Here is a 13,848-nt window from a genome sequence, read left to right on the forward strand (position 1 = left end):
AAATAATTTAAGACTAGAAATTAGGAATTCTTCAGGTTAAAGAAACATATGTCATTGAATGTAATTAAGGTTATATGAAGATTATCAGAAAAATTGCACCAAAATGTGATCAATAATAGCTTTTTCTTGGTTGATTGTTTCTAAGCATCCTTTCCAAATTATGTCAATACTGTTCTGCAAAGTTTGGAGAAAAACTAAAAGATGTATACCAAGAAATCCATGCTGGTACATTGTAATTTAACCTCCTATTTTTCCTGAAAAGTCACTCTTTAGACTAAAAAAAAGTTCATCATTGTGAGGCATCACTACAGTTTTATAATTTTTTTCACTGAGTCTTTCTCAATTTAATATTAAAGGGCTTTTAAGATTTATCCTCCATGTGAAATTTGGGGCTTTATATTCTATAGGCCTTTCTTGAAAATCCAAATTTCATATGAAAAACTAGAAAACTGATGTTGGGAATTATTTGTGTGAATTCAGTGAAGTGTACCAGTTGACAGCAAGTCATTCTGGGTGATATAATCGTTCTCATCCTCAATCAGCTGACATAAAACAATTCTTTGGAGTCCAATTGAACTCCTTCACCAGAGATGACTGTTGAACTTTTAATAGTTTCTGAAAATAAAATAATCAAGCATTTATTTCTCAGGAGCTTAATATAAATTTCTTCTGTTTTATTTTATCTAGGCATTTTTATTGAATTGTACTTGATTTGATTTTCTGACTCTTCTATGAGAATGGCTTTTTACTTGTAAGTTTCACTCAAATTGACATTTTGATAGTATAACACATTAATGAAATTCCTAGAACAGAGGCTATGTTCTTTGAAAAAAAATATTGACAGAGTACACTAAAGGGACATTTTAAAGTGCATTTGATTTCTTTTGCAGCTTGATAACATATTTGGTGATGTTTGGTAGCTCCCAAAGCTATACTTTCCAGTAACATGTCCAGATGAGATTTGACAATGTTGCAATACATCTTTCCATATCTAGATTTATGTATGCAAATTAAGTTCTTGGCAGTCTATGAAAACCACAAAACTCTTATCTCCCAGCCTAACAAAAAAAAAAGAAAAAGCACTTTTTGAAATAGCGAAGGAATCTCTTCCACAGCTACTGGAGTTTCCAGACCACACAGAGACTAATTTCCTTTAAAAACTATTTTTAAAAACACTCGTGCACACATATAAACATTTTTCTGGCACTGTTTTCTAGGCTTTCTTCTAAATTACACACACACAAACACACACACGTAATATGTAGGCATGTGTGCGTATAGATATATATACAGATGTAGATATAGATATCTTTATTTCATTCATCCTGATAACATCCTTATGATGTAGGGACTATCATTAGCCCTTTTTTGCAGATGAAGAAATCAATAAACACAAAGGTTAAGTAATTGCCTAAAGTCAAACAATCAGCAAGGAAAGGCAGAACCAGAGTTCAACAAAACATCATGGCTCCAGGATCCCGGAACCTTGCCAATAAACTGTATTATGTGGCCTTGATTTTAATAGGGAAAATATGATGTCAGAATGTATTGCCCATTCAGACTGTATATTTATCAGAAGTTCTTACTTAAGCCAAAATTCTTCAATGTGATTTTTTTTTTATTTAGAAGCATACATATACCTTTCCTTTTTCCACTTGTTAAAATCTAAGATAAGCCACTCTAACATAGGCAAAGAAATTAGAGGACATAAGATAGAATAATACAAACATTAAATTGGTAAGCAAATTGATAACATTTTTGTATTCTTATCAGGTTAATAAAAAGCATAATTAAAACGGAGATATAAGTCATCTCACAGGAGTTCTCATCCCTCTGCCCTGTTGCCCTTCTCTGGGCTGTGTGCTTAGATGGTAGAGCTACTGTGAAAGCTTTCCTTGGTAGCTTTCCTGATGTTACCAATGCTAAATCTAGAAGTCGATACCAGAAATACCCCTGGATAAGTAGTTAGGAAAATATGAGTTCTTTTTGGAAAGTGCAATCCTGGACATAAAATTCTTTCTAAATGTACCTTGACTATAGTACAGAAATGATATGCCATCTGATCCATCATCAAGATAAACAGAAAGAGTGCTACATCTCTTGCTGGAGAGCTTGATGAATACTGTGGCTGTAAAGTCAGAGCATGACGAGTCAGAATGATCAGTATGGATCAGATCCGGAGAGATTTCTCTTGCCCCATAGATCCATAGCCTGAATTTTACATGGTATATTGGTGCTCTAAGGCAGGCAATTAAGGGCGCTAAGCCACTTTTGGGTCCTATAAGAATCCCCAAGAATCTCTTTCCCAGGCTATTTACAGATTCAGGGCCAAAATTTCGATTATTGCTGGGTGGTTGTTGCAATTACTGTTGCTATTATGGTGACACTTTTCAGAACACTTATATCAGTGCTGTGCTGAGGGAAGCATAGTCAGATAATGGCTTTCTCTATGCTTTATTGATTCCCCATTTACAAAGACACATTTTTTTCCTATATTCTTACACTGTAGATCCTACTTCTGGACACCAAAAATCTCTTCGGCCAAGTTATAAACTGGCAAAGTACTCTTATGAGCTCTGGAGATACAAAGATGAATAAGAAACTAGCTTTGCCTTTGAGAAGCTTATAATCTGGTGGAAAAGGATGCTTGAAAAAAATAGTGTTTTGGAAATAAGGCTGTATTTTATTCAATCTGCTTACTTGCTGGTCTCCATAATTAAATAGAAAAATGTTGGAAAATAGGATAAAGGTCTTACTCATTTTTATATTTCCAGTACACATAGAAATCTGTTCAAAACTTAATCAGATGAATACTTAAATTCTTATATTTAGTTAAATGTACAGTAAATTAATATTTAAATTTTAGTGGATTTATATCCATAAACAATTATGTGACCTCATATAAGTACTTTCAGTTTTCTAGAACCATCATAAGAGGTTGATGAACCATCGTAAGAGGGAAAACAAAATAAATCCAATAAGGGGAATAACACTTTATGTATGTATAATATTTATTAATATTCTCAGTGCTATACAGAATCTAAAAACCATGAAACCTCATTCCTTCAGAAATTTGCATTTTAAGATGGAATTATGACACAAATCCAGGAAACATCTAATAAAGTTGATGACTCAGGCACTGTGGAGCCAGAAGAAAGAATGAGAAAATATGGGCACATAAATATTGAAATGATACACACGGATAAATTCATATGCAATTGACTCTTAACTATTAAAGAGTTGTGAATTATAGAGTATTTTTTCATTTTCCCCATGTTACTTCTTGCTTTTTGGTCGTTGCTAGGCTCATTCTTCTTGCAGTTACAGCAGAATAAAAGGAAACCAAAGACGGTAAAACTCAAGAGTCAATTCCATAATTTTCAACAACTCAGTTATAAAGAGATGTAGTCAGGGAAAACACTAAAACTAATGGTTTAAATGAGACTTTTAAATTATATGTAGCTTTCATTCATGCATGAGTATCCCAGTTTTCAATTAGCCAAAACTCTGTAGTTAGCTTTTATTTCAGACGTTAATCTACAGATTGAGAAAGTGCGCTGCTCTCTAGCACTGATGCCTGCTTGGATATCAAACACTGGCTTTCAGGGTTACATTCAGAAATGGAGGAAAAGAACTTAATTATTCAGAAAGTGAAAGAAAGCTTATTTGGGGAGAAAACAAAAAGAAATAAGGACTGCAGCCAAGCAACAAGCAAGTCTAATGTGTTTGAGTAGGTTTGAGAAAATATAGGAAAGAAATGCAAAAGATATATAAGTTCTTTCTTTCAACTATATTATAGGTTAAAGAAATTGAAGAATAATAATGATAATAGGACATATATAACTTACTATTTGGTAAATAATTCTATATCTAATTATTTTACCATGAAGAATGTTTACCTATAGATATCTTAATCCTCGTGTTACGGATTTAATACAGGTCAATTATATATTGTAAACATTTTTTTTCCAAAAAGTATTGATTTAAATTATTTATGTTCAATTCATTTACAAAAAAAATACATTGTAAGTTAATAAAGTAACAGAAACGAATACATAACAAGCTGAATTTCCAAATGTCAAAATGAGTACATAAAAAGTTACAAAAAAGCCCGTAGTTTCAAAATATAATTTTAGAATATGATCCAGAATGCTGATGGTTTTATTTAAAAGTTTGACATTTAGAATATAAATGTTTTCAAATATGATATACTTCAAATAAATATGTTTTTTTCACTTTTTAATAATATGATGTATCATTAATGGTCAAGCTCCTGTTTTATACTTCTGCTTTTTGCATTAGTCACAAACATAGTTTAAAACAGACAATGACATATGCCTAAACCAAAATATTTTTACTCATAATAAAATAATAAATCATATAATCTTAGTCACTGTTTTAGTGTAAGATTATATTTCACTCCAAGGATAAGAAAGAAATGATATATTTAGATATTAGTGATTTATAGACATGTGAATCATATTGTTACTGTACAAAAATGTATAATTGTTTTGTAAAGTAATGGGCTTGAATAAATTAAGAAATCTAAACATTTAAATATATACATTGATATACATTTATGCACATATATACATATGTCTTAAGGTTTGAGGTTGTTTTTTCTATTATTTTTTAAAAGGGTAAAGAAATGTGCAGTAGTACCTGCATGAGTATATTTAACTTATCTACTCATGAACATAATGCATGAATTAATTTTATTATTACATCTTATAATAATGAAATAACTCCTTATTAAATAATTGGTCATTTTAAACAATTTACTAGTCTTTAAAATTTTGTTCAGTGTAACTACTTAAAAATATTTTAAATATTGAACTATATTTTTAACTTTTAAGTTAAGGGGTACAAGTGCAAGTTTATTACATAGATAAACTGTGGCATGGGAGTTTGTTAGAGATTATTTCATTGCCCAAGTATTAAGCCTCATACCCATTAGCTATTTTTCTTGATCCTCTCCCTTCTCCCACCCTCCAAATACCACATGTTCTCACTTACCTATATGGAAGTTAAATGGTGAGAACACATAGAAACATAGAGGGGAACAACACACACTGAACTATTTATAAAGGAAAATTGTTTTGGTTATAAAAGCTATACAATTTGAAATTCAGAAATAAAGAAGATACAAACCCATTCCCTCATATCATTTGGCCATTGTTAAAATTATGGTATGGTATTGAAGATATGGTGAGAAACAGGAAGCCTGAGAAATGGTATGAAGAATTGGAAAACGGAAGTTTGGGATGACTTTGCAGAGCATTCAGCTGAGGTGGAACAATAGTCAGTTTAAAGTGCCTGAGATCGTTCTGCAAGGTGAAGGAGACCGTGAGACTCCACCCTCACTGTGTAGCAGAATCTTTGTGAAACCTGCAGACTCCTATCATGATATTGGGATTTCCATATTCTGTGGTGAGTCTTACGCAGGTATATTATCTAAAGGCACTCGGGTACTTTTAATGTATAGTCAGGATTAAGAACAATTATTCATAGTTCTCAAACTTTGAGCAGCATCAAATTTTCCTAGAGGGCTTGTTAAAGGTCCCTGGACCCCACTCCAGAGTTTCTGATCCAGTAAGATTGGAGCTGGACCAAGATTTTTTATTTCTAATGTCATCCAGCTCATGATGATGCTGTTGACTTGGGAACCAAACTCTGAGAACCACTATTTACCACCATCTTTATAATAATTTTGATTTTACAGTATGGAGATTTCTCAGAGAACTAAAAATAGAACTACTGTTCCACCTGGCAATTCCACTACTGTGTATCTACCTAAAGGAAAGGAAGTCAGTTTCCCAAAAAGACATCTGTATTTGTATATTTATTACAGCCTAAGTGCATATCAGTGGTGGATTGGATAAAGAAAATTATATCTATATATATATAAAATATATATATATAGGAATATGTATATATTCCATATATATTCCTATATATATAGGAATACTATGCAGTCATAAAAAAGAATGACATCGTGTCCTTTGCAACGTAGATGCAGCCTGAGGCCATTATCCTAAGTAAAATAATTCAGAAAAGTAAATAAAACACTGCATGTTCTCACTTATACAGTGTGAGCTAAACAATGGATATAAATAAAGATGGAAATAATAGACAGTGGGGACTTCAAAAAGGGGGAAGAAGGGAGGAAAGCATTGAAAACCTACCTTTTGAGTACTATATTCATTCCTGGGGAAATGCGTTCACTAGAAGCCCAAACCTCAACATTAGACAATATAACCATGTAACAAATCTGCACATGTACCTTACAGAGAGTAGAATGATGGATACCAGAGCTGGGAAGGCTAGTGGGGTTTGGAGGGCAGTGAGGATGGTTAGTGGGTACAAAAATAGAAAGAGTGAATAAGACCTACTAGTTGATAGCACAATAGGGTGACTATAGTCAATAAAAACATAATTTTATATTTTACAATAACTTAAAGAACGTAAGAATGTACATGTAAAATGTAATGTACGTGTAAGAATGTACATGACAAGAATGTAATGTTGGATTTTTTTGTAACTCAAAGGTTAAATGCTTGAGGGGATGAATACCCCATTCGCCACGATGTGCATTATTTCACATTGCATGCCTGTATCAAAACATCTCATAGACCCCAGAAATGTATATACCTGCTACGTATGCCTAAAAAAGTTTAAAAATAATAAAATATATTGAAAGAACAAAGAATGTTAATTTTAAGGTACAAGAGAATGTTGTTCAGCAACTATGGTATTTTTTTTCAAATCCTTTATGGAAAAATTTGGTATCATAAATATGTAAACATACATTTGAAGACAAAACAAAACTTATAGAAATATTTTCATACTATAAATAAAACTGTAGGGTTTTGTTTCCTTCATGAGACATGAGAAAGAAGGAACAATGAATTATGCCATATGTTAGAGGAATGTAGAATACAGGTGGAAAGGAGCAAGGACATCTCCCTTGCCTCTCCCAGGTAGGGTGAATTTGAACATTTTATTTTTTTAACATTCCTTTTCCACTTTTCCTTTCTGAGCACTGCAAACGTAAAGATTATCTTCTGTCAGCTTCTTCCTATTCATAACTAGGGATTTTTCCTTTTATCATAATGATGTGGTTCAATCTTGGGCATGCATATAATGGGAAAACACAGGAAACAAACATTGAATTTGAGGTCATGAATCTCAGAAAGAGCCGTCTGTATATTTAAATTTTACCCAGGGTGATGTAAATGTAGAAGAAAAACATATTGTGTAAAAACATTGAGAAGTATTGTGAACACTGGGAGGATGGTAATGAAAATGAGGAGAGGAGAATCTAAACCAATTACAAGGGCACTCCAGAAGGAAGCTACTAGGCAAAGTAGTTAGTGTGTCTCTTAGAAACAACAAAGAAAAATGAAGATAATTCTGAACTATCCTTTTAATGAAACATTTGGAAGAATGATAAACTCTTGAAAGAGTTTAAAGGAATGTGGTGTCATTCAGATGTGACAATTAAACTGATTTAATGAAAAGTAGGAGATCAGTTTGTGAGGTCATCTGAAAGGACCTCCTACTGAAAGAGTTTAACTTGGGTTTCTACTAGGGATTTCAGCACTTGAAGGAATAAAGTGAAGTGATAAAAACATAGAGATGACACAGGGTCAAATAATACTATGAAAATATGGAATACTAGTGCAAAGATTGAAGAAAATTTCTAATATTATAATAGCTTATGTCACTGACCATAATTTAAAAGCTATGTATTATTGTATTCTACATATATAAATATGTATTTTTATTTTTTTACTTGTAATGAGAAACCAAAGCTTTTAAATTAGGAGTCAATGACATAAGCATGATCAAAAATATTGTCGAATGAATGAATAATTAAGTTAAATTCCAGAATGAAGGTTACTTAAAATATAAAATACAAATAATTTAATCTAAGACATACGTGAAAAAATATGTTTGCCTATTTTCTGAAAGTTTCATCAGTGCTTGGAATAGCTAACATATTTTTAATTTTCTACAATAGAGAATAAAGTGATGATACAATTGAGAGGAATTAAATTGAATTAGAATTATATACTGTGTAAATATATATGATAGATAAGAATATAGGAAATCATTTACAAATTAGAAATAGAAAAGATATCTATTAATTTATTATGCAAGTATTTGGAAAGTACCAGAAAGATGATGTTGATTTAAGAATATAGTTGTGCTCATATATTGATAAATTTAAATTTGTCAAATTAAACTGATTAAAATTTTTGGAACTTTTTAGCATTCTAAGTTTTGAGGTTATAATGAAATTATGAGGAAAATGCTTTTAAACTGAATAACCCAGGGATTGTCTTTTTACCATGCTTGTGTGAGATCATTATTCCATGGACGCTTATGGCATTAGACTGAATTGATTTTATAGAGAAAAAGAACTCAAGATTGCATAAGCCCATATTAGCAGCAAATTCCTAATATCTAAGTTTCTTTCTGTCTTAAAATAGATGAATTTTTCCATTTCGATGAAAGGTTTTGGATGAAAAGATTTTGCAGTCTTTATAGAGCAGCAATCACTGAGTGCTACAAAATATTTTATTACATTTTTTTGCCTTGAATTTTGCATTATGGGTAAAGAACTGTGTGACTTAAAATAGCTTACCAATCTTTCAGGAAGTTAGAAAATATTTCATTGTTGTTGATTTAGAGACTGAGTCTTGTTCTGTTGCCCAGTTTGGAATGCAGTGGTATGATCATGGCTCACTGTAGCCTCAAGTTCCTGGGCTCAGGAGATCCCTCCTGCTTCAGCCTCTCCTGTAGCTGGGACTATAGGCACTTGCCAACATGACTGGCTAATTAAAAAAAAAAAAAAATTTATAGAGATAGGGTCTCTCTTTGTTGCCCAGGCTAATCTCAAACTCCTGGGCTCAAGCTATCCACCCGGCTCAGCCTCTCCAGTGCTAGAACTAGAGGCGTGATCCGCCATGCCCAGCCAGAAAATAATTCTTTAAAAATTTTACAACATAATTAACATTGAATATCTCTATTGTAATAAAATATAATAAACTGTATTAAGTGGCACTCTACTTATCTGCAATTGCTGATGTCAGTTGACAGCAAGGTTTGTTTTCCCACAGTGTGAGTGTCTCTACTAATTAGACTTAATTAAATGCAGATATATTACTGTTCTGTGTAAGATTTCAATGAGGACTTTGAGAAAAAGATCTCTGGATGGATAACAGAGAGAGACTGAAGCTGGAAAGCCTTGAAAAGTCCCCAAAACAAGACTAAGAAGCTTTTAGAGGACTTGTGCACTTAGAGATGACCAAAAGAGAATGAAGATTAAATTTTGCAAAAATAAAATGCTAAATATTGAATAAATAATTTTAGTTGCTTAGTTAATATAGTATCTTACAATTTTTCTATGTTCCTAAGGGAAGCAGGAACATATTTAAAATTATTATTTTTACATTTTTTAATACAGAAAAGTTTATCCCAGTACCTAGAAGCTGGGTCACTAATAATGACAACTATTAGTCACTACTAATAGTTGCTTTATTTTCTGTCAGTTTTTCTCTCTTTTTTAACAACTTGAATTAGTCATGTTTAGTATTTTAATATGTTACACCTTTTGATAAGGATATTTTCCCTCAATAAGTTGTAATAAACATTTTCCCATATAGTAGCAAATATTACTTACGGCTATGTTTTAATCTGTGAGAAAAGTATAATTTGCTTAAATTTTATTTGTGGTCATTTTTAGTAATGTTCCAGTATTATAAAAATGTTAAGAATAAATGTTTTCATGCTTAAATTTGTATATGCATCTTAGATTATTATTGCTCATCAGTGGAGTTACTGTATTAAGAGTTATGAATCAAGTATAAGAATTGTATCAAATAATTGTCCCTCTGCCAGGAGCCAGCTCTCCACATCCTTCATAGCACTGAGTATTTTGTGGTTTGTTATTTAGTAGGGAAAAAAGACATTCTTTTTTTGCATTTATTTAATTACTAGTGATGTTGCACATTTTTTCACATGTTTAAGGGATGTGTATAATTTTTCAATGGTATTTTTGTCATTACTTGATGTAAACCTCCATTTTGAATATAAGAACATTGTTTCTCAATAATAAGTGTTTTGATTCCTTTGAGCTGGAATCAGAATTGAAGTTCAGGTCTTCAGACTCCAAAATTGCAAGTTCTTGCCACTTGTTCCCCCATACAATAAGAATATTATTATCAAGCACTAAATAGACAACAAGAAGTGGAGTGACTGTAGAGACCCAAGATTGGAAAGTGGGTTCAGGAGAACTGTGGGCCCTGGAATAAGACAGTCCAAACATAAATTGTCCATGTTCCTTTATGAGCTTGTAATCTCGTCGTTCTCAATGATTACAAATCAGCTCAGCTTCCTATAAATGACTCTTCCAAAGGAAAGCCAAAAAAAAGGTTAGACTGAAAGTCTTCAACAATAAATATTTACTGAATTCTTCCTACCGGGCAGGTACTACTTCAGGGCCTAAGAGCACAACAAAGTAGCCAAGAAATACCTGCTTTATGAGAGTTCAGGGTTTAGTGGGTGAGGCCAAAAATAAATATGTTAATCAATTAAATCTATGCGTATAATCACAGTTGGTGAAGTGTTATGAAGAAAAATAAAGGAGAAAGGGAAAGGTGTTGCTAGGGAGAATGGACAAGTTTGACTAAAGTGATCAAGAAAGACCTTACTAAGAAGAAATTGAGAGCAAAGATCTGAAAGGGAATAAGGATGAGCCATGCTAATGTTTTGGGATAAGGGTTCTCATCAGAAGAAATGGCAAATGCAAATACATAAAACAAAAGCATTGCTGGGAATTTGGAGGAAATGCAGGAAAGCCATTGTGGCAAACTCAGGAAGCCATTGAGGCTTGTGCAAACTGATAGCAGATGAGATCTCAGTGGTGAGGAGAGAGAGAGCACTTGTATTACCTTGCAGGCCAGTATGAGGACTTTGGCTGTCTCTCTGAGCAAAATGGGGACTGACTGGAGGATTTTCTGTCAAAGAGTGACATTATCTGACATACATTTTAAATGGCCCATAGACTGAGAACAGCTGGGGGACAAAGCTAGAAGCAGGGAGATGAATTAGGGGGGAAATAAGTTGGGAGGCTATTTCTATAACCTAGGGGTGAAAATGACAGTGGACTGAACAAAGGTGATAATTTTGGCTAGAGGGAGAAGGTCGTGAAGATAATGAGAAATTATTTGAGTCTGGCTATGTTTTGAGGGAAGAACCAACAAGATTTCCTAAAGTATAAAATATGAAAATAAGAGTTATCAACAAAACTGACGTTAAGGTTTTTGGCATGAGCAATTTTAAGAATGGAGTTATTTTCTGAGATGAGGAAAAAACAAATTTTGCAGGAAGATTACTAGTTTGATTTGGGTCAAAGTAAGTCTGTGATGTATATTTCACATTCAAATAAAAAGTTTCAGAGGGATGTCCAAATAAAGATTAAAATATGGGAGCTGTCAGTGGATATTTACAGTTACAAAATTGTATAATCTTACCAAGAAAGTGATTGTAAATAGAGAAGGGGTCTGAGGATTATGATCTGGGTCACTCCAACAGATTGGGGACATGAAGAGGATACAGGAAAGGAGACTAACATGAACTGGTCAGTAAGGTAAAACACTAAGAATGTGATACCTTATATGTCAAGTAAAAGGAACAGGTGCAAGCAAATGTTTCAAATTCTGCTATTGGTCAACTAAAATGAGGACCAATCATTGACTACTGACTTAGAAACGTAGCGATCATTGATGATGACCTTACCAACAATACTTTACCTCTGGTGCAATTTTAAAAGGTAGAAGGCTGAATGACCTGAATGGATTGGATTTAAGGGTAAATACGAAGAAAGGGATCGGAAGCAATGAGTAAGGAAAGATCTTTGTAGGAATTTTGTTGGAAAAAAGAACTGGCAAATTAATTGTATATTGGCAAGGTATGTGTGGTCAAGTGAGGGTTTTGTTTAGTTTTAGTTGGGAGAAAGTTTTTCATGTTTTTATATGCTTACTAGAATTTCTGCAGAAATTGAAAAATGATTACATAGGAAACAAAGAGAATAAGAGCTTGTCTTTAGGTAGGTAAGAGGGGATGGGGCCTGATGCACAATTGGAGGGATTTTCTTCAGATAGCAGAATGAAGGGAGATGAGAGAAGTCAGAGTGCACAGGTCTAGATGCAGGTAGGTGATAGACATGATGGTGAGAGCCTTTGGCAACTCTGTTCTATTTGTTTACATTTTTTGAGAATAAACAGCTGAGAGTGAGGATAGCAGGTGTTTAAGATATGGAAAGAGAGGAGAAGTGAAATAGTTGACCAGAAAAGAGAGTTAATCTGATTTATTTTCTAAAAAGAAAATTACTGTGGTACTAAATGAAATCTACAGAATGTTTACATATTCAAATTGTAGGTTAATTATGAACACACATCAAGCCATCACATAGTTAGCTGTAGAGTTTAAGCCATCAATAGTCATTTAGTTTCATTATCTCACTTGTTTGGTTTTAATTAACTTTCTATGTTTTTGTTTAACTTTGTGTACTATTAGTATCGAAAGGTTGTAGCTTGTTAATAGAGATGCTTATTTAGCATTTTCAAGTGAAAAACAACATTAATAACAGGTACAACATTATTATTAATAATAATAATGCCAATTATTCAGAAGTGGCAGGTCTATACAAAACTCTCTGACACTCTATTTTATCAGTTATTTTATACTTGATTAGGCTTATATAACATTTTCTACTTCTGCAATTTTCTGATAATTAATAAAGAATTTCCTTTACACAAATCTCAGGCTTTATTTTAGGGAATGGAAGTCTGTGCTACTAAAAATTGCATAGTGTTGTGTGTCTGGGCAGGCTTTTCAAAGACCTCTGTTATCACTTATATCCAAAGTGATAAGTCTGGGCGTGGTGGCATAGGCCATAACTCCAGAACTTTGGGAGGCTAAGGCAGCAAGATCGCTTGAGCCCAGGAGTTGGAGACCAGCCTGGGCAATATAGTGAGACCTGGTCTCTATAAAGAAAAGAAAATGTGATAAATAGGAAACAAATATCAATAAGAAGCAAGTAAATATTCTTATGGGTAATTAGAGCATCTTTAAGAAAAAAACATCAATTTGTATCAATAACCTTGGATGAGAATATGGTAGAAGGGTAGATTTTGGACTAGATACAACTGTTTATTAAAAAAATTCCAATTTGGCTACTAAGAATGAAGCATATATTTCATAGGAATCATGTCCTTGTATGGGCCACAATGTCAGTGTTAATTTTTACATGTTATTATAATATATGCATGCAATGGTTTTAAAATTGTCCCTTAACAATATTATGTGTTAGTAAAACATAATATTTATTTATCCATTATGTTGTGCAAAACTACCTTTGGTGTATCTATAGAAGGATGTCAGAAATACTTTATAGGATTTAAATTGGGGCAAAACCGTTTGTTTCATTTCTTCTATTCCCTTAACAAAGATAAAGTGAGTTTGTTTGAACTGGAACATAGTTAAGTGTTGATAGGCCATGTCAGTCTTCTGTATGAACTCCTCACCCCCACCAACTTCCTGTTTCTCTGAAGTGCATGCATACAGTGATATATGTTTTGGTTTTCTAAGAAGGGAAAGGAAGCAGAAGAATACAGAATGAGCTTGTGAGTTTTGAAACTTTGGGACAAACATGGAAGTTGGTGAAAAACCATTTGTCAGTTTGCTTGACAGGAAAAAAAAATGAAACAAATGCATGCATGGACACAAAATGGTGTATCTAGTGTCTGCATAGGGCTTCCTATGTGCTAGGCACTATTA

At 32.9% G+C, this 13,848-nt stretch overlaps 1 protein-coding gene across 1 annotated transcript in view; it reads left to right on the forward strand.

Annotated features, from left to right (window-relative positions):
- The window catches only part of ADGRB3 (adhesion G protein-coupled receptor B3), a 754,225-nt gene that overhangs the window by 92,054 nt on the left and 648,323 nt on the right, over positions 1–13,848 (forward strand). The window lies entirely within an intron of this gene.

Source organism: Homo sapiens, chromosome 6 (assembly GCF_000001405.40).
Source record: "Homo sapiens chromosome 6, GRCh38.p14 Primary Assembly".
Taxonomy (NCBI): domain Eukaryota; kingdom Metazoa; phylum Chordata; class Mammalia; order Primates; family Hominidae; genus Homo; species Homo sapiens.